Source organism: Homo sapiens, chromosome 5, assembly GCF_000001405.40.
Source record: "Homo sapiens chromosome 5, GRCh38.p14 Primary Assembly".
Lineage (NCBI taxonomy): Eukaryota > Metazoa > Chordata > Mammalia > Primates > Hominidae > Homo > Homo sapiens.
In genome coordinates, this window is record NC_000005.10 from 10,711,528 (window position 1) to 10,735,696 (window position 24,169).

At 45.6% G+C, this 24,169-nt stretch overlaps 1 protein-coding gene across 2 annotated transcripts in view, besides 4 other annotated features; it reads right to left on the reverse strand.

The window, feature by feature from the left end:
- Positions 1 to 24,169, reverse strand: part of DAP (death associated protein) — an 82,005-nt gene that overhangs the window by 32,298 nt on the left and 25,538 nt on the right. The window lies entirely within an intron of this gene.
- Positions 14,789 to 14,952: a silencer, noted in NCBI's record as "fragment chr5:10726428-10726591 (GRCh37/hg19 assembly coordinates)". NCBI's record gives its function as "represses an EF-1alpha promoter that drives an FKBP-Casp9 reporter gene in an ReSE screen in HepG2 liver carcinoma cells {active_cell/tissue: HepG2}" and the evidence as "EXISTENCE:reporter gene assay evidence [ECO:0000049][PMID:32094911]".
- Positions 15,824 to 16,323: an enhancer, noted in NCBI's record as "H3K4me1 hESC enhancer chr5:10727463-10727962 (GRCh37/hg19 assembly coordinates)". NCBI's record gives its function as "activates a minimal SCP1, AML or CMV promoter by ChIP-STARR-seq in primed H9 embryonic stem cells {active_cell/tissue: H9 hESC(primed)}" and the evidence as "EXISTENCE:reporter gene assay evidence [ECO:0000049][PMID:30033119]".
- Positions 19,458 to 19,959: an enhancer, noted in NCBI's record as "NANOG-H3K4me1 hESC enhancer chr5:10731097-10731598 (GRCh37/hg19 assembly coordinates)". NCBI's record gives its function as "activates a minimal SCP1, AML or CMV promoter by ChIP-STARR-seq in naive H9 embryonic stem cells {active_cell/tissue: H9 hESC(naive)}" and the evidence as "EXISTENCE:reporter gene assay evidence [ECO:0000049][PMID:30033119]".
- Positions 19,960 to 20,459: an enhancer, noted in NCBI's record as "NANOG-H3K4me1 hESC enhancer chr5:10731599-10732098 (GRCh37/hg19 assembly coordinates)". NCBI's record gives its function as "activates a minimal SCP1, AML or CMV promoter by ChIP-STARR-seq in naive H9 embryonic stem cells {active_cell/tissue: H9 hESC(naive)}" and the evidence as "EXISTENCE:reporter gene assay evidence [ECO:0000049][PMID:30033119]".

Genomic DNA, 24,169 nt, shown 5'->3' on the forward strand with positions numbered 1-24,169 from the left:
TCTGTGAGAGCCATAACTTCTACGCTCTCTTACTCTATCGGCATTAAAAATCCTCTGAACTCTGACAGCGCTTCCTGTGTTTCCTGGAGTCGGTGCTTCTCACCACCCTGCCCTCCAACTGTCTATCCCCATCTTCCTGATGAGACCTCAGCCACCTTACTCTGGGTGGGACGTCTGTTTACTCTTTCTCACACAGTGCTCTGAATAGAGCCTCAAGAACTGCTGATTCACTGGCTTCATTAAACCCAAGTTTGGGACTCAAGAGCAAGTTAGTTTTTCATTGAAAAATGACATGTGTCTAGCATTTGCAAGCACTGCGTGGGTACAAAGTAATATACTACATAATCCTTCCTCAAACGCAGGACCAGGCAGGGCAGGAAGGACTTGAGGCAGGCAACCACTGTGTGCCAAGTGAGAGGCTGTTCTGGCTGAATTTCACCCCCGTCCTTCCCAGCAACACATTCCTATGTTGAAGTCCTAACTCCCAGAATCTCTGAGTGTGACTCTACTTGGGGACAGGGCCTTTAAAGAGGTGATTAAGTTAAAACAACATCATTAGGGTGGACCCTCACCCAATATGATTGGTGTCCCTATAAGGGGAGAGCAGGACACAGACAGGCAGAGAGAGAAGACTGTTTGAGGACACAGGGAGAAGACGGCCATCTACAAGCCAATGAGAAAGGCCTCAGAAGGAACCAACCCTGCTGACACCTTGGTCTTTCAACCTCCAGAACTGTGAGACAGCAAACTTATGCTGTTTCATCCACCCAGTCTGTGGCACTTTGTTAAGGCAACCCTAGCAAACTAACACAGCAACACACACAGCATGTGCAGAAAGAATTCGGATGGGGGAAGCTCCTGTGGGCTGGGGTCATAAGGTAAGGCTTTGAAAAAGCCGCTTCAGTGGGGCCTGGAAGGACCGGCACAATTCAGGGTATGGAGGGACTGGGAGACCCCTCCACATAGGAAGGGCAGGAGAGGTGCAGAGGAGGACTGAGCACGGTGTATTCTGCCGAGTAGATTCTGGCCTCTCAGGTCCTGATTCATGGAAAAGGTAGACATTGATGTCTGTGAGGAGGGCTGGATGGGGTGGGGGAGACTGGGCAGGGCCTTAAATGACCGGTTACAAAGGGCAGGAACCCACAGGACCAACATGGCACAGGGGAGAGAGTTCTAGACTAGGGCAAGGGAAGCCCTGTGGGTCTACACATTAGCCTTGAAGCTGGCGGGAATGCCCTTAGCTTCTCAGGGCTTCTGTTATTCAGTTGCAGAATGACTACATTGAACTCTTTCAGTGGTTATCAACTTCTCTGTCTGTAGCAGTAGATCCTGTTTTAAAACATCAAATCTGAATGGAACCTCAAGATATCAAATGGATCTAGGTGGGGCTCCTATTGAAGTGGGGGAGGGAGAAGCCTGAGGTGGACCCCAAGGCATCTACTCATTAGTGCAGGCCTCCATACGACACATGTACCCATGAACTAGGCTGAGGGAAAACCAACCAACCAGCCGACCAACCAGCCAACCAACCAGCCAACCAATCTGCCTTACATCTTTATCTCTGTTGACATCTGACTGATATTTAACATGCCCTCTCAGGATGAACTCCACAGGCAACCTTCCCAAGCCAAAGGCTCCATAATCGATTCCTAGGAAGCAAAGGTTACAGGGTGGGGAAACTGGAATCTCAGCAAGACAACCTAACATTGGAATCGAAGGTCAACTGACTAGGGCAAGACTGAGACAAGGTGACCAGTAAGAGGTTCTGTGGCTAACCAAGTCTAGGATCTGTGGCAGTCAGAGCAGTTCCTTGTGGGAGTTACGTTCCAGGCACGACAGCAGGACTGGGCTGGGCAGCAGAGGAGGAGATCACAATGACTGATTTTCAAGCCCAGGAGGAGCAGGGAATGAGGGAGGCAGAAGAGTGAAACAGAGAACCACCACCAACAGCCATTCATAACGTGCTTTATCTTGCTCAAGGCTGGCATCTTCTCATCTGACAGGGGTTACTGTTTTACCCCCACTTTCCAGCTAAGAAGCCCCCCTGAGAGCTGAAGTGTTTTCCACAATCACACAGGCAACAGGTCCCAAAGCTGGTACTCAAACCCAAGTCTCCTGCCCCAAGCCCTGTGCACTCCGTCCACTAGAGGCTGAGGTAAAGCTGGACCAGCAAGGAGCCGTCCCTCCAGCCAGCAGGCACGCCTGGTGTGCTCTGGCGGGGAAGCGGGGCTGGGCAAGTGCTGCTGTGTTTATTCCTCATTCGGGTGATGACAAAGGCGGGAACATGCAAGTTCTCTAATGGACGGTAAACAGAAGAAAGCAGAGGTCTGAGAACTGAACGTCAGGGAGCAGTCAAGATCCCATCAGGCTGCCCATGTATTTCCTCTTAATATTTGACAATGAAAAGGGTAATTAGGACTCGCAGCAAAGCAGCCTTGCAATGGAATCACTTAAACTAGGCCGTGGGTTCTTTCCACATGGAAAGGGCATATGGGGTGTAGAACCGTGAGAGTCACGCTGAGATCCACACCTTTGGAAAGTTGTCTGATGTAATAAAAAATGAGAGTAGACATATATGTTTTGACGTAACACAGATCTAGGAGGTATAAGGTAAAGATTCTTAATCTAATGGGCCCAGAAATAAAATTCAGGACACCCATGAACTAGGCTGGGGGAAAACCAACCAACAAACCAGCCAACCCCACATCTTTATCTCCACTGACATCTGACTGATATTTAGCCGGCCTTCTCAGGGTGAACTCAGCAGCATCAGCAGTGCCTGTAATTTTTTCATCAATAGAAATCACAGATATTAATAGTTTTATATCACATTCCTGTTGTTGCACATACCTAGAATTACCGTTGACATTCATCACTACTCTAAAGTGATGGCAGTGATCAGACCTATCAGGAGACCTTGTTATTAAATCTTAAAAAAAATTACAATTTAAAGTAATATTTTGATAACTGTACCTCATACTTCTTACGGCAAGAAAACAGGTAATACAAATAAAAACAAAGTCAGGAAAAATATACAGAAAAAAATTCAAAAGGATTTGAAAAGTGAGGAAGCATAGATATGCAGATACATGGTGATATGGGGATCTGTGTCCCACCAATTCTCATGGTGGAATCATAATCCCTAATGTTGGAGGCTGGGCCTGGTGGGAGGCGACTGCATCATGGGGGTGGATTTCTCATGAACGGTTTAGTACCACCCCCCTGGTACTGTCCTCACAGTTGTGAGTGAGCTCTCGTGAGACCTGGTTGTTTAAAAGTGTGTAATACTTCCCCTCTTGCTCTCTTGCTCCTGCTCCCACCATGTGAGACGCCTGCTCCCCCTTTGCCTTCTGCCTGATTGGAAGCTCCCTGAGGCCTCCCCAGAAGCACAAGTTGCCATGTTTCCTGTTCGGCCTGCAGAACCATGAGCCAGTTCAACCTCTTTTCTTATAAATTACCCAGTCTCAGGTATTCCCAGGTATTTGCACTGCTATAGGGCAAAAATGGACTAACACATACGAATATACAGATATGCACGCCATAAGGGTCTCTGTGTCTTCCAGAGTTGTGCCACAAATGTGACTTAAATTTGCTTGTGTCCAAAGTGCAGGGAGTTATATGGACAGTTGCTGAGTTCCTGTTTTTGGAGGAGAGGAGGAGGCCCCAAATGTAAAATGTTGGAGAGGTTAAAGACACAGTAGCCTGATGTCCCTTGGGTTTGGTCCTTGGAAGGATGCTGCTGTACTTGCACTAGGGAGTATTTGTGAAGTAATAGGAATGGCAGCCAGATTACAGGGCCCAGGACAGCAACAGGAGCAACTTCCAACCCATCAGGCTGATGCCCCACCCACCTCCAGGTGCCACTCACTCCAGTTCTAAACAGTGCCTGGCCACACCTTGCACCACTCCACCCTTGGGGACATGGAGTAGAAGCCTGAGCTGCCGGGGGCTTCCTACAGCAAAATCTTCTGAGCTTGAGAAACGCAGGCAAACTGGCAATGTCTTGTGGGTCAATTACCAGGCAGTTCCTGAAGACCCAGCAAAGGTACTTTTGAAGAAGCTGCTGGGTCATTTCTAGGTACATAGCACCTCTCAGAAGCAAAAGAAAAATGCTAAGAAGAATTAACGCAGTTGTTAGGAAGTGAGTGAGTTAACTAAGGTCTCAAGGAAAACAGGGGTGAGTCTTCCGATGCCACGGAGAGAAAGGGCAGGCTGCTGTAGGCAGGGAGGCTGTTAGCCTCATTTATCATTCATGCCCCCTGGCCCTGGGAACTCACCATGGAATTCCAACAAGGAGCTGGCACTGAGGTATTTATTGCTTTCTTTGCATGTCAGCTTGTCACACGTAACAATTAATTTGATGATCCCAAATTGGACCTGACAGGAAACCTCTCGATAATACACCATGCCTAGATTTAGCAGAGATAAACACTGCTGTTAATTTCTCCAGCAGAGGATGTGAGTATCAACCCAGGGCTGCTTTCATTAATTTCCATCTCACACAATGTGGGCCCACCTCATATTGGCATTGCTCCCTTTAGCTGATAGCTGTGGCCAGTTTTAGAAGTGTGGTGTCCTAGGGTTGCCTGCCAATCATTTCCCATTTTCAAAGTGATGAGAACGTGACAGGGGACACAGACATTGAGCTCCATCGGTGAAGAAACAGCGGGCAGAATGAAGCTGGATAAGCCCTGAAACTGCTGGTAAGAAGATAAAATGCGACTAAGAGAAATTGTGCTTTCAATGAACTTTTCAGGAACACATCTATCGTGCAGAGTAAACTCCTTCGAAGTCTAGATATCTGTGGGTAGTAAGAAAAAATAATATTTTTTCTCTCCCTCCACCCCTATACTAACTGTGATGGTTAGTACTGAGTGTCAACTTGATTGGATTGAAGGATGCAATATTGATCCTGGTGTGTCTGTCTGTGAGGGTGTTGCCAAAGGAGATTAACATTTGAGTCAGTGGGCTGGAGAAGGCAGACTCACCCTTAATTGGGTGGGCACCATCTAATCAGCCATCAGCAAATATAAAGCAGGCAGAAAAACATGAAGCAAGAGACTAGCCTAGCCTCCCAGCCTACATCTTTCTCCCATGCTGGACGCTTCCTGCCCTCAAACATTGGACTCCAGGACTCCAAGTTCTTCAGTTTTGAGACTCGGACCTGGCTCTCCTGGCTCCTCAAGCTTGCAGACAGCCTATTCTGGGAACTTGTGATCGTGTAAGTTAATACTTAATAAACTCCCCTTTATATGTATGTATCTACCTATTAGTTCTGTCCCTCTAGGGAACTCTGAGGAATACAGATTTTGGTACCAGGAGTGGTTGTAGAGGAACAGAATATTAAGGATGGAGTTCTTTCATTGGTTTTGGGGTTTCTGGAGTTGGTTGCTTAATATGATTAGACCCCAAAATGCTAAGGACTCTGCTTCTAATAGTATGGAGAATACTGATAAGTCCTAGGCGGAAACTGTTTAGACTTATGCAAAATAAATGCATTTGGCACTCCTGATTCACCGCTTGTGAGAAGCAAGGAGTTCACTCACTCTATACATAATACCTTTGACCATATGTGGAGAACCAAGGAACATAATGCAGCTTGTTGGTTGCTCCCAAGTTCAGTGGACAAACTGATGAAAGAAAATGATGAACTCAGGGATTCTGTCTCCGGGCTTCAGAAGCAGATACTGAACCTCAAATCTGCTAAGATTGCCCTGAGTGAGAGTCTTACCTCCTGTAGAGAAAGAGCTGAAATTGTGGAAAAACAGACACAAGCCCTTATGATGTGAGTGGCTGACCTGAAACAAAAGGTTCGTGCACAGCCTCGCCAGGTGTCTACTGTTAAAGTGAGGGCATTGATTGGAAAAGAATGGGACCCTGCAACTTGGAATGGGGACATTTGGGAGGACCCTGATGAAGCTGGGCACACTGAGTTTGTAAACTCTGATGAACCATTTTTGCCAGAAGGAATTTCCCTATTCCCAGTAGTGGCAACATCCCCTTCCCGACCCATGCTGCCACCAGCCTTTGCACCTCTGTCTGAGGAGATAAACCCTGCGCTGCCTGAGGGAACAGTGATGACCTCTTCTGAGGCAGTTGCCAGGCAAGATAATGTTGATTCTCCTCAGAATCCACCCCAATACCTCTGTTTGCTAATTAGATACCAAGGTGGCAGGGGCCAAGTGGCAGCACTCGACCATCAAAGGCAAGGTGGGTGCAGCTACGACAATGAACGGCAGAGGCAATGAGGCAATCAGAATAGTCTGACTAGTGTAGAGCTATGGCATTGGCTAATTAATCACAGTGTTCCTAGAAGTGAAATTGATAGGAAGCTTACTGCATTCCTACTTAATTTATACAAGCGGAAAGCTTCTAGGTGAAATGGATAAAAGACTAATTTGAATTAGAAAAACAGAATCACGGCTCCTCAATCAATTTCCAGACTTGAGTCAGTTTACACACCCAGAACCCCTTGAATGAAGGGGAGGCTGGGTCCCCTTGAGGAAGGACCCTACTACATTACCAACAATTTATGCAACAAATCTTTCTCCCATCTTTCCCCAAGGTGACCTCTGGCTTTTTACCAGAGTAACTGTGGATTGGGGAAAGGGAAATGATCAGACATTTCAGGGACTACTGGACACTGGCTCTGAGCTGACGTTGATTCCAGGGGACTCAAAACATCATTGTGGTCCTCAGTTAAAGTAGGGGCTTATGAAGGTCATGTCATTAACGGAGCTTTAGCTCAGATCTGACTTACAGTGGGTCCAGCGGGTCCCTGGACTCATCCTGTGGTCAATCCCCCAGTGCCAGGCTGCATAATTGGCATAAACATACTTAGCAGGTGGCAGAACCCCAACATTGACTCCCTGACTAATGAGGTGAGGGCTATTATGGTGGGAAAGGCCAAATGGAAGCCATTAGAGTTGTCTCTATCTAGGAAAATAGTAAATCAAAAACAATATTGCATTCCTGGAGGGACTGCGGAGTCAGTGCCACCATCAAGGACTTGAAAGACGCAGGGGTGGTGACTCCCATGACATCCCTGTTCAACTCTCCCATTTGGCCTGTGCAGAAGACAGGTGGATCTTGGGGAATAACAGTGGATTATCATAAGCTTAACCTAGTGGTGACTCTAAGTGCAGCTGCTGTGCCAGATGTAGTTTCATTGCTTGAGCAAATTAACACATCTCCTGGTACCTGGTATGCAGCCATTGACTTGGCAAATGCCTTTTTCTCCATTTCTGTCCATAAGGCCCACCAGAAGCAATTTGCCTTCATCTGGCAAGACCAGCAATACACATTTACTGTCCTACCTCAGGGGTATATCAACTCTCTGGCTTTGTGTCATAATCTTATTCGGAGAGACCTTGATTGCTTTTTGCTTCTGCAAGATATCACACTGGTCCATTACATTGATGACCTTATGCTGATTGGATCCAGTGAGCAGGAAGTAGCAAACATATTGGACTTACTGGTGAAAACATTTGCACGCCAGAGAATGAAAAATCAATCCGACTAAAATTCAGATACCTTCTACCTCAGTAAAATTTCTAAGGGTCCAGTGGTGTACAGCCTGTCAAGATATTCCTTCTAAGGTAAAGGACAAGTTGCTGCATTTGGCCCCTCCTGCAACCAAGAAAGAGGCACAATGCCTAGGGGGCCTATTTGGATTTTGGAGGCAACACATTCCTCATTTTGATGTGTTACTCTGGTCCATTTATCAAGTGACCCGAAAGGCTGTCAGCTTTGAGTGGGGTCCAGAACAGGAGAGGGCTCTGCAACAGGTCCAGGCTGCTATGCAAGCTGCTCTGTCACTTGGGCCATATGACCCAGCAGATCCAACGGTGCTGGAGTTGTCAGTGGCAGATAGGGGTGCTGTTTGGAGCCTACAGCAGGGCCCCATAGGCTAATCACAGCAGAGGCCACTAGGATTTTGGAGCAAGGCCCTGCCATCTTCTGCAGATAACTACTCTCCTTTTGAGAGACAGCTCTTGGCCTGTTACTGGGCTTTGGTGGAAACTGAACATTTGACTATGGGTCATGAAGTCACCATGTGACCTGAACTGCCTACCATGAACTGGGTGCTTTCTGACCCATCTATCCATAAAGTGGGTCATGCACAGCAGCATTCCATCATCGAATGGAAGTGATATAAATGTGATTGGGCTTGAGCACGTCCTGAAGGCATAAGTAAGTTACATGAGGAAGTGGCTCAAATGCCCATGGTCTCCACTCCTGCCACCCTGCCTTCTCTCCCACAGCCTGCACTGATGGCCTCATGAGGAGTTCCCTATGATCAGTTGGCAGAGGAAGAGAAGACTAGAGCCTGGTTCACAGATGGTTCTGCACAATATGCAGGCACCACCCAAAAGTAGACAGCTGCAGCACTACAGCCCCTTTCTAGGACATCCCTGAAGGATGCAGTGAAGGGAAATCTTCCCAGTGGGCAGAACTTCCAGCAGTGCACCTGGTTGTGTACTTTGCATGGAAGGAGAAATAATCAAATGTGTGATTACATACTGATTCATGGGCTGCAGCCAATGGTTTGGCTGGATGGTCAGGGAGGTCATTCCAAGCGGTCTGATTCACCGTTTGTGAGAAGCAAGTTTATTGACTTTATACATAATACCTTTGACCATATGGTCTGACCAAGGAGACCATGGGCATTTGAGCCACTTCCTCATGTAACTTACTTGTGCCTTCAGGACTTCCTCAAGCCCAGTCATACTTACATCACTTCCATTTGATGATGGAATGCTGCTGTGCATGACCCACTTTATGGCTTGATGGGTCAGAAAGCACCCTGGATGGCTAGGGACTTCAAAGAAGCATGATTGGAAAATTGGTGACAAAGAAATTTGGGGAAGAGGTATGTGGATGGACTTCTCTCAGTGGTCAAAAACTGTGAAGATATTTGTATCCCCTGTGAGTGCTCACCAATGGGTGACCTCAGCAGAGGAGGATTTTAATAATCAAGTGGATGCGATGACCCGTTCTGTGGACACCACTCAGCCTCTTTCCCCAGCCACATGTCATCGCCCAATGGGCCCATGAACAAAGTGGCCATGGTGGCAGGGATGGAGGTTACGCATGGGCTCAGCAACATGGACTTCCATTCACCAAGGCTGACTTGGCTACAGCCACTGCTGAGTGCCCAATTTGCCAGCAGCAGAGACCAACACTGAGCCCTCAATACGGCACCATTCCTCGGGGTGATCAGCCAGCTACCTAGTGACTAGTTGATTATAATGGACCTTTTCCATCATGGAAGATGGCATCATGGCAGAAATTTATCCTCACTGGAATAGACACTTACTCTGGATATAGGTTTGCCTATCCTGCATGCAATGCTTCTGCCAAGACTACCAGCCGTGGACTCGCGGAATGCCTTATCCACTGTCATGGTATTCCAAACAGTATTGCCTCTGACCAAGGCACGCACTTTATGACTAAAGAAGTCTGACACTGGGCTCATGCTCATGGAATTCACTGGTCTTACCATGTTCTCCATCATCCTGAAGCAGCTGGATTGATAGAACAGTGGAGTGGCCTTTTGAAGTCACAATTACAACACTAACTAGGTGACAATACTTTGTAGGGCTGGGGCAAAGTTCTCCAAAAGGCTGTGTATGCTCTCAGTCAGCCTCCAATATATGTTACTGTTTCTCCCACAGCCAGGATTCACGGGTCCAGGAACTAAGAGGTGGAAGTGGAAGTGGCACTACTCACCATCACCCCTAATGATCCACTGGCAAAATTTTTGCTTCCTGTTCCCACAACATTATGTTCTGCTGGCCTAGAGGTCTTAGTTCCAAAGGGAGGAACGCGGCTACCAGGAGACACAACAATGATTCCATTAAACTTGAAGTTAAGATTGCCTGGACACTTTGGGCTCTTATTACCTTAAGTCAACAGGGTAAGAAGGGAGTTACAGTGTTGGCTGGGGTGATTGACCCAGACTCTCTAGATGAAATCAGTCTACAACTCCACAACAGAGATAAGGAAGAGTATGCATGGAATACAGGAGATCCATTAGGGTGTCTCTTAGTCTTACCATTGCCTGTGATTAAGGTCGACGGGAAACTACAACAGCCCAACCCAGGCAGGACTACAAATGGCTCAGACCCCTCAAGAATGAAGCAGGGAAAAAACCACAACCTGCTGAGGTGCTTGCTGAAGGCAAAGGGAATACAGATTGGGTAGAAGAAGGTAGTCATCAATACCAGCTACGACCATGTGACCAGTTCCGGCTCCAGAAATGGGGACTGTAATTGTCATGAGTATTTCCTCTTTCTTTTGCTAAAAACATGTTTGTGCATGTATACACTTGTACTAAGAAAATATCTTTATTGTATTTCCTTTTCCTTTATTGTGTGACATAAGATTTACTGACTTCATATCAGCATTTAAGTATTGCTAATCTTATGTAATAGTATTTGGGTTGGGGATCAGTGCGTTTCTGGTAGTACAAAGGATAGTTGTATTATGTTAGGTGTAATTATGATCTTATTGTATTTGAAGATTATGTATGATCTCAGGAAATGTGTATGGGTTCAAGTTGACAAGGGATGGACTTGTGGTGGTTAATAATGAGTGTCGACTTGATTGGATTGAAGGATGCAATATTGATCCTGGGTGCATCTGTGAGGGTGTTGTCAAAGGAGATTAACATTTGAGTCAGTGGGCTGGAGAAGGCAGATCCACCCTTAATCTGGTGGGCACCATCTAATCAGCCATCAACAAATATAAAGCAGGCAGAAAAACATGAAGCGAGAGACTGGCCTCACCTCCCAGCCTACATCTTTCTCCCATGCTGGACGCTTCCTGCCCTCGAACATCGGACTCCAAGTTCTTCAGTTTTGAGGCTCGGACCTAGCTCTTCTTGCTCCTCAAGCTTGCAGACAGCCTACTGTGGGACCTTGTAATTGTGTAAGTTAATACTTAATAAACTCTCTCTCTATATATATACACATACATATGCATACATATACATATACATGCATATATATACATATATACATATACATGCATATATATACATACATACATATATATACATATATACATATATATACATATATACACATATATACACACATATATATACATATATATATATGTTCACGACTGCAAGTGGTCAGATGCTGGCTGCTATACCCTGCCTGGACCCAGATGCCACAGCAATGTCACCTTAATGAAAACTATATGGGGGAAAATGACAACATCTAAGTGACAACACTTCACCCACCAATAGCAACGCCCTTCTCACACCCACCACCCAACGACTGATACTCATGCCAAATCTTTCTTGAAATTACTATTCCCCACCATCCTTTACAGACTGCACTTAAGAAGGAAGGAGCCCACAGAACCGAATATCAATCACAGAAGCTGCATAGCCAGACATTCAGTGTTCGATGTACCGAAAAATCCTCTTTACACGTCTTTATGCTTCTGGCCACTACAGCCGCAAAGTCCAGCCATTAGAAGGGACAGCCATCTTTCAGAGTCATGTCCCTTGATGAAATGTCAATGCCAAAGAAATATAGACAGATATGCCTTATGTATTTTGCCATGTCTCCTCCCTCTTGCCATCACAGTCTCCTCTAAAAGAGTAAGCAACTAAAAAAGAAAAGCTAAATGTTCAGTCCCTGTAAAACACCATTTACAATAACAAACTCACACTGATAGAAAAGGGAAGATACTGTATTAATAGCACATCAGGTCAAAAAATTAGAACATAAGAATGATAAAAACCATGGCAATTAATTCAACGCCCTATATATAGTCTATCCTGTAAATATAATTTGATTTGCACAGAGCTCCTCAGCTGGCTATTAGTACAGCGATCAGCTCAGGTCTTCTAGGCCAGTCCTTGCTTTGCAGCACGATGCCTTGTAAGAACAATTCAGTGGCTACAAAACCTTGGAAATAGTACTTAACTCCTTTGGGTCATCCAAGCAAAACTACTCTCGTGAAGCTCATTTCATTGGGATATTGGGGAAAGAAATAGCAGAGAAGGGATGGAGGCACATAAGAAACAATCATTAAGAAGACCCAGGCAAGAAACAAAACAATTCTTGAGCATTTTAAGTAAAGAAAAAGGCAGCATGTTACAGTCACTAATTAACACATAGCCCTTTCTGAGGAGAGATTCTATCACAGGCTCCAGGCCAGATACTAAAGCAAAAGAATGTGTGAAACCAAACTCCTACCTCATTAAAGATCTCTGGTCTGAGTTGGCCCTACATGTTATTATATGCCATTATCTTCATCTTCATTACAATGCTGAGTTGTGACACCTTCTATGTTGACAGAGCTCCTAAGGATACAGAAGGAGAGTCGCACATCTTGCTCTGTATCTTAGGGGACTGTCTGCTATCCAAGTGTACTTGCGGGTGTCTATTTGGAAGATTATTGAAGTAAATGCCAAAATACAAACGGTGCATTGTTTGGGTGCAGAAAAAAACATATAGCAAAAAAGTAAACCTGTGGGATGTGTTCAAGGCACCATACAGCAAAGGCAATCCATTTCCTTGTGCTACCCTCAAAATGTTATACAATAATTTCTGGTAAAAACTCTAAATTAAAACAATTTAAAAGCACAGCACCTCTAATCCTGTTTAAGCCTGAAATGATTTATAAATACCTACCCAGGAACTACTCTGCCACCAAAGGAATGCAGATGGCCTCAGTGAGGATTAATCCATCTCTGGAAGGTTCTTGAGGACTAACTTATCCTTTCTTATTTTCTCCAGAGTCTAGCAAGGTTCCACCTCTATAACAGAAACCCCATGAATATGGGACTGCTGTTAATTCACGCTGTGCTTTTAGTTCTTTTCAAAGCTTACAGATATTCATATTTTTCCCTCATTTTCTTTTCTCTATAAAAGTCCCATAAGAGAAAGAGACACATGCACAAATCTTGCACTACAGATGAGGAAACAGGCACCAAAGGTTCATGATTTACCAGGGGCCACCCAGGAGCAATAGGCCAGCACCCCAGGGCCCATCAGCTTAGGGCTTTCCTAGATTAAATGCTTTACACACATTTCAGGTAGACCAGGGGAGGCTGGCTCTTGTGGACTATGTGTACCTAAATTGCTTAAGAGTCATAAATGTGGTCCAAGATTTTCAAAAAGTCATAACCAGCACATGAACTAACAGACCAAAGACTCAGCCTAGGTGGGGTCAAACTAAAGCTGCAGAGGAAACATTCCTCCTTTCTGGTTCTGTGTCCCTAATGGATGAGGGCTCCAGTGACTTGGAGGGAAGAGTGCTGGTGCTCCCCAGGGCCTCTCAACCCGGGTGCGCAGCCATCTGGACAGAGTCAAGCTCTGACAAACCCAACAGCCGCCAGGGGGTGTAGCTCTCTACTCCCCCCAGGAGGAGAAGGTGGGGGTTCTGCAGCTGTGTGCTGACTTGAGCTTCTTCCTCCCCCCTCTCCCCTTCAGGCTCCCCTCTGACCCAACACCCCATGGGCTTGGCCTCGCTAAGGCTGGGAAAGGGCTGCATTTGTTTCTATCTCTGATCACATTTGGAATCCCTGGCAAAGTGAAAACAAACCTTCCATTCTTCAGCCGTGTTTGTTTTGGGCCCATTTGGCACCACCCTTCCCATTTCAGGCTTATTTTTTTTCCACTTATCGTCATCATGAATTTGGTAGAGGTGAGTCATTGGTTTTAACCCTGGCTCCAGCTTCCTCTCGTTTGTACTTTTCCAGTCTAATTTCCTTTATTTGCAGCGCCTTGAAAGTCTCCAATCGCTAGCCTCTGACATGGTTATGCCGGGTCCTGAGCTCGGGCTGTCTCCAGTCCTGAGGCGTGTGGGCTCCTGCACGCTGGGCCAGGGGTTTCTGAGTGGTTGTTGTGTTCCTGGTTCTGAGGCTCCTGCCCACAAGATCCGAAGACTCACCAGGGCAGCTGCTGACCTTCAGGTGGAGGCAGGGAGCCTCTGCAGAAGCCGGTGCCGCTGCAGAGCTGCTCCAACACTGCCGTGGTGTCTTATAAAGCCACAAAGCTTGAGTTGACAATTGGGGTAGAAGGAAAATCACTGAAACTCCTCTGTCTTAAATGAGCTTGATGGAAAGCAGTCCCTAATAATACAATCCTAGTGCTGAAAAGATGTCTCTCAACTTAAACATTTGAAGTAGGATTTTAGGCTTTCTTCTCAATAATTTCCCCACAACTCTTTGGGAAAAGGTGACTAGTTAACAGAGCAGAAACGGTGGGCAGGAGACTGGAAGTCTTTGGAGTCACACATTTGGATTCACATCTTATTTGTCAGTTACTTTGGTAATGACCTTAGGCATGCCATTAGTCTTTCTCAGTAGATATACCTGACCACAAAAGAGAGTCCCACCACTTACCTTGTAGGATGTGAAGACTAATAAGACTAAGTATGTAAAGCACCTGGTCTAAAGGTAGCTGTATTTGCTGTTATTTGGCTATTAGACTTCCTGAATACTGCTGAATTGCTTAAGTCATACTGGGGACAATCTTCTAAACTTCTCATTCCCCAAGGACCGATTAAGTTGAGACATAATCATAAAGTCAACAGGACACATGACAGATGCTTTCAAAATAGATTCAAGTCCCATGGAAAAAAATGTTCAATTCTGCCTGTTGGACAGTTGTCATTTATACTCTCTTCCGCCTCCCCTCTGGAGTCCTTATAAATATGGTGGCCAATTAGGAAGTTATCATTACTCACCCACAGTGAAAGAATAAACTGTTCATGAACCATTTTCTCCCTTTAACACAGTGTTCATACATTTCTGAAATGTGTAGGCTTCACTTGCATTGCAGAGACTGGGATGGTGTGTGTGTCTCAGATAAGTGCTGCTCACAGCGTGGTGGGGAACAAGCAGCACCACTAACTCTGGGAGCTCATGAGAAATAGTCTCAGGCCCACCCCAGCCCTGCTGAGGCAGAATCTGCATTCTGACCAGATTCTCAGGTGATCTGCAAGTGCATTCAAGTTTGGGAGGCTCCTTGGTCACACAGAGGAGGCAGAGGTGTGACGGTGAAGGTGCCGGCCCCGGCCCAGGAGGCGGGGTTCTGACTGCTCTTCAGCCCCTGCCACTTCAGCTTAGCTGAGGGACAACAGGCGAGTCATATCACCCTCCAAGCTTACCCTCGTTACATCCAAAATTGTGAAGGGCCTGAGGTTTTATGTCACTTGTCAGCTAATACGTCAGCCTGCCACTGTGTGTGCATGTGTGTGGAAAAGTGTGTGTGTGTGTGAGTATGAGTGTTCACAACAGAAGGTGCAAGACCTCTGAGTCAGAGAGAGCAGAAAGAACGACATCTTAGCACTAGTTTGCTAAGTGCCAGTCCCCACAGTGATGTGACATGGTGAGGGCCAAGTGTCACTTATGCATGTAGTGGAATCATCACAGAAGAGAAGCCCCAGAATTAGGGAACGCTGACCTTGTACAGGGCTGCTGGTGACCTTCCCTCTCCACTGTCGAGAGGGAGAGACAGAGACTTAGCTTGATCCTGGAATGTAAGCAACTGTTTTAGGGAAGTGGAAGGGAAACTTCTGTAAGCTGTATTGTCCTAAAATGTCTCCTTATACGAACATTATTAACTTGGCTGTAAATGTCTTTGCTCAGAGGACCTGGACTGTGCAGAAACATGACATGTCCATAGGAACTGTCTCTCAATGTGCCCATGTGTCAGGAGAATGGGTGGCTGGCACACAGCAGGCAACAGTACCTGGCCACTGCCCCGGGGGAGCTTGTAGTCTGAGAACCACCCACAATGGAACCACAGTGTCATGAGAGGGGAAGTCCCAGGTGCCTGTGGGAACGCACAGGGGTCAGCACACCCTGATGAAGGCAGGGCTGTCAGGAAAGGGTTCCTGGGGCTGGCTTCCAAGCTGAGACTTGACGTTTGGATTGGCTGGTTCTGAGTGCCAGGCAGGAAGCCCTGACAGTCGGCCGTGAGAGGGTGGTGGGGATGGGGCCTGCTGCCTTGCTCCTGATGCTCAAGGGCCCGACTTCATTCTGAGGGTTTAGATGGGGGGGACTGGGGAGAGGGAGAAATACATGTTGATTCCCTGGTTCTGGCTTGGACAACTCAATATCCAAGTTATGAGAGCCTAGTAACAAGATGGAAAGGGGAGCAGAGTTTGAGGGACGAAAATGGTGTGCTGTATGTAGGCAATCTGCTATGTTTCTGGGAGTATAAATTGAGATATCCAATCTATGCAGTCATCCCTTGGCATCCATGGGAGAGTGGTTCCAGCACCCCTGTGGATACCACAATCCCACAGATGCTCACATCCCTGATATAAAATAGTGTAGTATGTGCATATAACCTTCACACATCCTCCCATATACTTTAAATCATCTCCAGTTACTTACAATTCCTGATACGATGTAAATGCTATGTAAATAGCTGTTATCCTGTATTGTTTGGGGAACAGTGACAAGAAAAAAAAGTCTGTACCTGTTCAGTACAGATGCAATCATCCATTTTTTTCCTGAATATTTTCAGTTCACAGTTGGGTGACTCTGCCGTGGGTTGAACCCTTGGATGCAGAACCCACAGATACAGAAGGCTGACTGTCTATGATTAACAGGCAAAGAAAAGAACATGAAGGCGGTTGTAACTTACTTTTTTTTCCTGGATATCAGAAAGTGAAATGCTATTTTTTTGTATTTATTTACTAATATTTGTTTACAAATATTTATTCTTTTGAGAATTATTTGTTCATCTTCTTTTGAATTCACTGGGAATTTGATGTGTTTATGACTGATTTATATGAACTTCCCATTCATTTTCAGTCTGTATTAGGTTTTCAGCTATCACTGCTACTTTTTAGAAACCTTAAGTGTGGAGTTACTTAAAATCCTGGGGGAAAGATTTAGACTGAGCCCAAAGGATAGGCCAAAAAGACAAAAAAGAAGACCTCTGATGGACCAAGACTATGTTCTTTTGCCCTATTTTCAGAGCTTCAGGGAAATTAAATATAAACGGATGTATGGACAAGTCAATTCTGAGTTTAAGAAATTAAAGCAGTGCTACTAATTGATAATTTTACTGATTTGTTAATGTTCTTGAGAAAACTTGACCTTCCAGTAAGTCCAAGTAAACAGATACAATCACCAAACTCCTGGGTTCAAATTAATCACACACTAGGAAAAACATGTCTTGCCTTAGATACAACTTTCGATCACGACCACAGCACTGGACAGGGGGCTGAGGGGCTAACCCACGAAGAAGGTCTGGAGAGATACCCCTACGTGGCACCCTTGTGTCAAAGTGTGAATGAATTGGGGGGAGAGATGCGGAGAGGAAGAGGCAGGGGGAGAGGGCCAGTCAGCCCCATCCCCAGAATCAATGACATCATTTATTCTGCTTTTTTCAAAATGAACATTGATGCTGTTCCCCCAACCAGTACAGATTCACCATATTTCCACCTATCGAAATTCTATGTGCTCTTTTAGGTTCAAAGAGTATCAACTTTCTCATGTTAATTAAACAGCATGTTAATTGACAACATCCATGTTGTTAATTGTCCTAGTTTTTTTCTCAACCCACGGAACTTATTTAATATTGCAGGGTATCAACAACCCTTTTCCCACAAAGAGTGTAGGTTTCAAAAATGTCAAAACAATTCCCTCATGCCCACTTTCCACTGAAGCCAGGTATAGCTGAAAGTTAACCTTAGCTACAGAGGTCATGCTCTGCTGTTCTGTAGGTAGGAATGTTAGATAAATGCAATGAATTCATGCTCTTATAATCAAACAAACTTTATACCCCACCACCATCTTTGAAAATAGGCACCCATATCAGAACATGTGTATTTCTACTCCATCATCTTAGCTTCCCTCCCCTTCATTTCCTACCTCCCACGATGCTCCCCCAAAAAGTAAACAGCAATTACTTCTCTTAATTTAGATTGGCCAAGATTGCCCTAAATTTCATTATCACTCTGAAACTGCTACAAAGGAATGCTCAACAGATGTCATTTATAATCTTCTTTATTCCTGACTTAGATAAATTCAAAGTGATCTAGTTAGAGGTTTTGTCAAATTCTTGGAATACCAAAGATGTCCCCTATTTTCCAGTGTTCTTTCTTCGGTTGTCCCTACCTAGAATGCCAGAGCAACTACAGCCAACCACATTCTGACTAGCACACCAAACACTCTTGATCGTGCCTAGTTTGCAGGATCCTTAGCCTCAGGCTTGCCCATACATCCTGAAGCCATGTCCACAGAGATGCTACTCCAGTTCCCCTTAACAGAAAATTCATCCTTACGGCGACCCCAAGTTAACAGTGAAGCAGAAGTGCTCAGACATCCAGGAACTGCCAGAGCCTGCCTGGCGAGCTCCAGCATGCACTTGTGGGCCCACGAGGACCCTGCCTGCACAGCTGTGTCCTGGGACAGCTACCCTAGCATCTGTCTTCATTTCCTCTTTCCACATGCATTCTGCAGAAGGCCTTGGCTACCATTAATGGTGGTTACGAAAATTCAATCAGGCTGTCCTCACAGGCGGTTTTCTCAGGAGATAAAGACCCTTCACTGCCCCTTGCCTTCTGTGCTTTCTTTGCAGCATTGCTAAGTCTACTTGCCACAGCTCATCTTCAGCTGTCCATGTGCTTATCATCTGTTGTTCCCAGTGGCATGGCTGCCCTGTGAGAAGAGGGATTTTGTTTTGCTCACTAATGTGTCCCCACTGTGTAGAGTACCTGGCACAGACGAGGCACTTACAGACATCAGGGGAATAAGCAAATGCCCACGTGCAGCGAGTGGATGCTCAGATGTGCGTGCCAGGGAAAACAGCTAAGGGCTGCTGCTGAAAAAATTATGAGGACACGAAACCCTGTCCTATACAAATCTACTACAAGAGTGGGGGACTGAGAGCCCCGGTGGGGGGGAATCTTTCTCTACTGAGAGCCCTGGTCGAGAAGAATTTTTCTCTACTGAGAACCCTGGTTGGGGCAATCTTTCTGTACTGAGAGACCGGGTCGGGGGGAATCTTTCTCTATTGAGAGCCCTGGTAGGGGGAATCTTTCTGTACTGAGAGCCCGGGTCAGGGGGAATCTTTCTGTACTGAGAGCCCGGGTCGGGGGGAATCTTTCTCTATTGAGAGCCCTGGTAGGGGGGAATCTTTCTCTACTGAGAGCCCTGGTGGGGGGGAATCTTTCTCTATTGAGAGCCCTAGTGAGGGGGAATCTTTCTGTACTGAGAGCCCTGGTGGGGGGAATCTTTCTCTACTGAGAGCCCTGGTAGGGGGAATCCTTCTCTATTGAGAGCCCTGGTGGGGGGAATCCTTCTCTATTGAGAGCCCTGGTGGGGGGGAAATCTTTCTCTACTGAGAGCCCTGGTGGGGGGAATCTTTCTCTACTGAGAGCCCTAGTGAGGGGGAATCTTTCTCTACTGAGAGCCCTAGTGAGGGGGAATCTTTCTGTACTGAGAGCCATGGTGGGGGGAATCTTTCTCTATTGAGAGCCCTGGTGGGGGGGAATCTTTCTGTACTGAGAGCCCTGGTGGAGGGAATCTTTCTCTATTGAGAGCCCTAGTGGGGGGGAATCTTTCTGGACTGAGAGCCCTGGTGGGGGGAATCTTTCTCTACTGAGAGCCCTAGTGAGGGGGAATCTTTCTCTACTGAGAGCCCTAGTGAGGGGGAATCTTTCTGTACTGAGAGCCCTGGTGGGGGGAATCTTTCTCTATTGAGAGCCCTAGTGGGGGGGAATCTTTCTGTACTGAGAGCCCTGGTGGGGGGAATCTTTCTCTATTGAGAGCCCTGGTGGGGAGAATCTTTCTCTACTGAGAGCCCTGCGGGTGGAGGAAAGGGAGGAATCTCTCCATGGCTTTGGCTGGTGCCAGTTTTACCTCAGACCCTGGACCTGGATTCTGATCTCTTGCTACCAGCTGCATTGGCTTTGGATCCCGAGCCCTGTGTGAGGGTTCCTGAACCTCACTGCCCAGGCTCCAGGTCCTAACATCTGGCTCAGCAGTGCTCCCTGCACTTCATTCCTTTTCTGTAAAGACCTGGGCCACCTGCTCATCCCCACTACTCCAGGAGACCTCCCTAGCCTGGCTTCTGCCCGGCCACACTGCCTGTGGTGCTGGTCTTTGTGCCTGACTTCCCAACCTCCATGCCACTGTAAACCACATATCTAAGGCAATCTTAGCAATGTCTGACTTAGGGATAGGCAGGTCACCTGATTCTGGCCAATGAGTTTGCTAGGGGGCTTCTGGCGAAGCTTTACTTGCTCCTAAAAAGAGATGAAAGAGAAGATGCCTGTTTCTTCCTCTCAATGCCACTTGTCTGGGTGTGAAGCATGGATCTACTATGGCCAACCCTCTGCCAGCCTGTGGAGGCAGCTGCTCTAGGAGGAGGGCAGAGAGGTGGCCCTGGAAAAGCCCCAGGCACCCACCTCTCCTGTGGTCAACCCCATCCTGAGACTTCTTCAAGGAGTCAATGTGTCCTTGCTGCCTGGGCCTGCAGCCTGGCTGCATGAGATGCCTCTCTCCCCAACCCTGAAGAGTCCTGATGTCCCTGAGGAGTTCAGCCATGGACCTCCAGAAAGTCCTGTCACCACAGTGAGCTTCCGCTTTCTCAGTGATGACAATGTGCAGGCTGAACCTAGCCATGGTTCCCAATTTTCATGCCTAAGGACTTCCTTTTTATTGAGGTAACATTCATAGAACATAAAATCCATTTTAACCACCTTAAATTATACAATTTAGTGGCTTTTAATACATTCACTATGTTATGCAACCCACCACCACCATCTAATTCCAGAACTTTCATCATCCTCAAAAGCAATCGATACCCATTAAGCTGTCACTCACCATTCCCCTTTTTCTCCTCAGCCCCTGGCAATCAGTCATCTGCTGCCTGTGTCTATGCATTTGCTTATTCTGGATATTTCATATAAATGGCCTTGTTGAATATGTGGCCTGGTGTCTGGTTTCTTTTATGTAGCACAATGTTTTTAAAGTTCCTCCATGACTGTATCATTAATCAGCACTTCATTCTTTGTATGACTTACCATGTTTTGTTTCTCCACTCATTGGCTGATGAGCATTTGGGCTGTTTCAATTTTTTGGCTATTGTGAATAATGATGGGATGAACATTCATGTACAAGTTTCTGCTTGAGCACTTGTTTTCAGTTCTCTTGAGTGTATACCTAGGAAGGGAATTGCCAGGTCACATGGAAATGCTGTTTAGCTTTTTGAGGGTCCATCAAACTGCTTACCACAGCAGCAAGGGCCTTGTTTTTTGTTTTAAAAATATTTTTATTATGGTTAAAACACTTATCACAAAACTTACCATCTTAACCATTTTAAGTGTACAGCTTAGTAGTGTTAAGTATATTTACATTGTTGAGAAACAGATCTCCAGATCTTTGTCATCTTGCAAATCTGATACTCTGTACACATTAAACACTAATCCACATTTCCCTTTCCCCCAGTCCCTGGTAAGCACCATTCTAACTTTCTATGAGTCTGACTACTTTAGATACTGCATATACATAGAATCATGCAGTACTTTTCCTTTGGTAGCTGGTTTCTTTCACTAGGCATAATGACCTCCAGGTTCCCCCATGACGTGGCATATGACAGGATTTCCCCTTTTTAAGGTTGAATAATATTCCTGCGTGTGTGTGTGTGTGTGTGTGTGTGTGTGTGTGTGTGTGTGTGTGTGTGTGTATACCCTACATTTTGTTTCTCCATTCATCTGTTGATGGGCACGTGAGTTGCTTCCACCTCCTGGCTACTGTGAACAGTGCTGCTATGAACACAGGAGTACAGATATCTCTTGGTGACCCTGCTGCTTTCAATTCTTTTGGGTATATGCCCAGAAGAGGACGAGGGCTAATTTTTAACACAAAAAACTTTGTGGATTGCTACCCAATATATGTTTCACTTTTGGTATCTAGATCCTTCTGGATCTTTAGCAAAATCTGACATCTCACCTCTCAAGGCCTCCATTTAGGAGCACCTGGATTAAGTGATCCTCAGGTTGTGTCCAACTCTAAATCTGCTGATTCTATGAGAATCCCTTGGGTAGAACACCACCCTTGATACTCCAGCCCGTATTAATTCCACAGTAATGACTACAGTCCTGCCTTAGGGGATATGCACTATAAAAAATCAAAGTAAACACCTGCCGAGAGAGAAGGGAAGGCCCAACAGAACATGTGAGGATAAAGAATTTTCTTCCCCAACATGGCTACTACTGCATTCACCTTTTTTCACCAACTGGAAAATAAGAAGTAATCAAGTTAATTGACTATTTTATCTTTAGAGAATCAAAGTCCAAGATAATTATTACTGATTCAGCAAGTGTTTTCTGAGTGCTATGCCTTCTGAGACAATTGAAGTCAACAGGGCTTATCTAGATAAAAAGTACTTAAAAACTTCAGGCCTAGTCATTTTAATGTAATAAACTCAATAAGGGCTCTTACTTTCATGTGGTTATTATTACATATTTCATTCTATAAAATCCAAGCACTGGAGAGTTGATTTAAATTCAGTTCATATGTTTATGTAGTAAGAAAACACTCCTGATAAATAGTGCAACCTTTCAAGTCACACCATAAAAACAAAGGAGCCTCCGTTCCAAGAGGATGACTGCAGTGCAGACACACAGAGCAGAGCCTGGAAGGGAGAACTGATAGCCCCATTTCCTTTCTTCCCTCCTTCCATCAGATCAAAACAGTCCTGCCGGTGTAGATAGGAGTGTGGCAATCTTAGAAGGAGGCTGGGACCTGTGGAGGGAGAGAGAGCAGGAAGGGGCCATTCGGAAGCTCATAAATCACACCTGGTTTCCACATCCGTTATGTAGCCAGAGTTGTACAAATACTGTCTCAAAGCCTATTACCAGAAGCCACTGGCCCTAGAGGAAAGCCTGGCCGCCCGCACTTTCTTTCTTATCCCCAAATCTAAGGAGTTCAGCCAGGATCTCGGACATATGGGTACCCATATGCTGTGCCGCTCTGTGGCGAGGCTTTGATTCACTGCCTGCCAGCCTCAAGCCTTTCTCTGGCATCCACCTCCAGGACAGGAGGAATCAGGCTAGATTCACTGGGAATCCTGACAGTGCTATTACCCTGTGTTCCTAGGGCGACTCTGAGCAAAACTCCTTAAAATACTCACAGCGTCATTTCTACTGATCATGCTAAAATACACATATCCACAGGTGTTGGGAGAAATGTTTAATTTCTATTATATACAACAACAAAAGTGGTATTGGGCCATGATGAATTAATCCATGATTAAGGCAGTCCCATGTGCTTAAGAAGGCAATTATTTAGCTGGGAAAATGAGCTAAACATGAAGATATATTCTATTTACATTTATTTTTTATCTAAAGAAACAAAATGAATTAAGCTTTGCCACTATTTACTATGTGGCCCCCAGGCAGACTGTCCCTCACCGGCCTCCTGGTCCTGAGAGCTCCCAGGGAAGCCGTGGGGCCGCCACCCAAAGGCCTCCATGCCCTTCATCTGCTTTCAGTGTCTTGCAACATACCCATGACTCCATCTGGTTAACGGGGTAATGAGTTCAATTCTCTAGTATCATCCTCAATATATCCCAAGTGCCTCAAACTGTGCTCAGATGATGAATTTAGAGTGAATTTAAGCTAACTTTTACAAAATGGACAAGTAGCTTAAAAAAAATTCCTGAAAAAATAACCTCTGGAGGCCGAAGTTAATCTCAATACAAGCACAAGTGAACATAAGCAAAGGGAAGCGCTCCTGCCTGTCGTCATTGGTCTCCATGTTACAAATACCAACAACCTAGTCACATGTGACAAGAAGCAGCTCTCCCCAACAAAACCTGAAATTGCCTGGAAGCCCATTAGAAATTTAGATTTACATCCTGAATCATTAACGAGAAATCCCATCTCAAGGGTATCTGGACCTTGAGATGAGCTAATGATAGTACCAAGTCACTAGAAATAGCAAGACATTTAAAATACTGCTGATTTCATCTTTATCAAATATCTTACCATTCATTTTGTATATGTTTCATAACTTATATAGTGGTAATGCAGTGCACATGTATACTTTTAAAATGAATACTCATATGCTGGGGATGCATGCAGAAAACATTTTTCTTAATTGATGGAGTGTGTGATCAAATTTGGGGCCACACCACTGTACACAGCATGCCCTTGGTCAGGAAAATGGGCT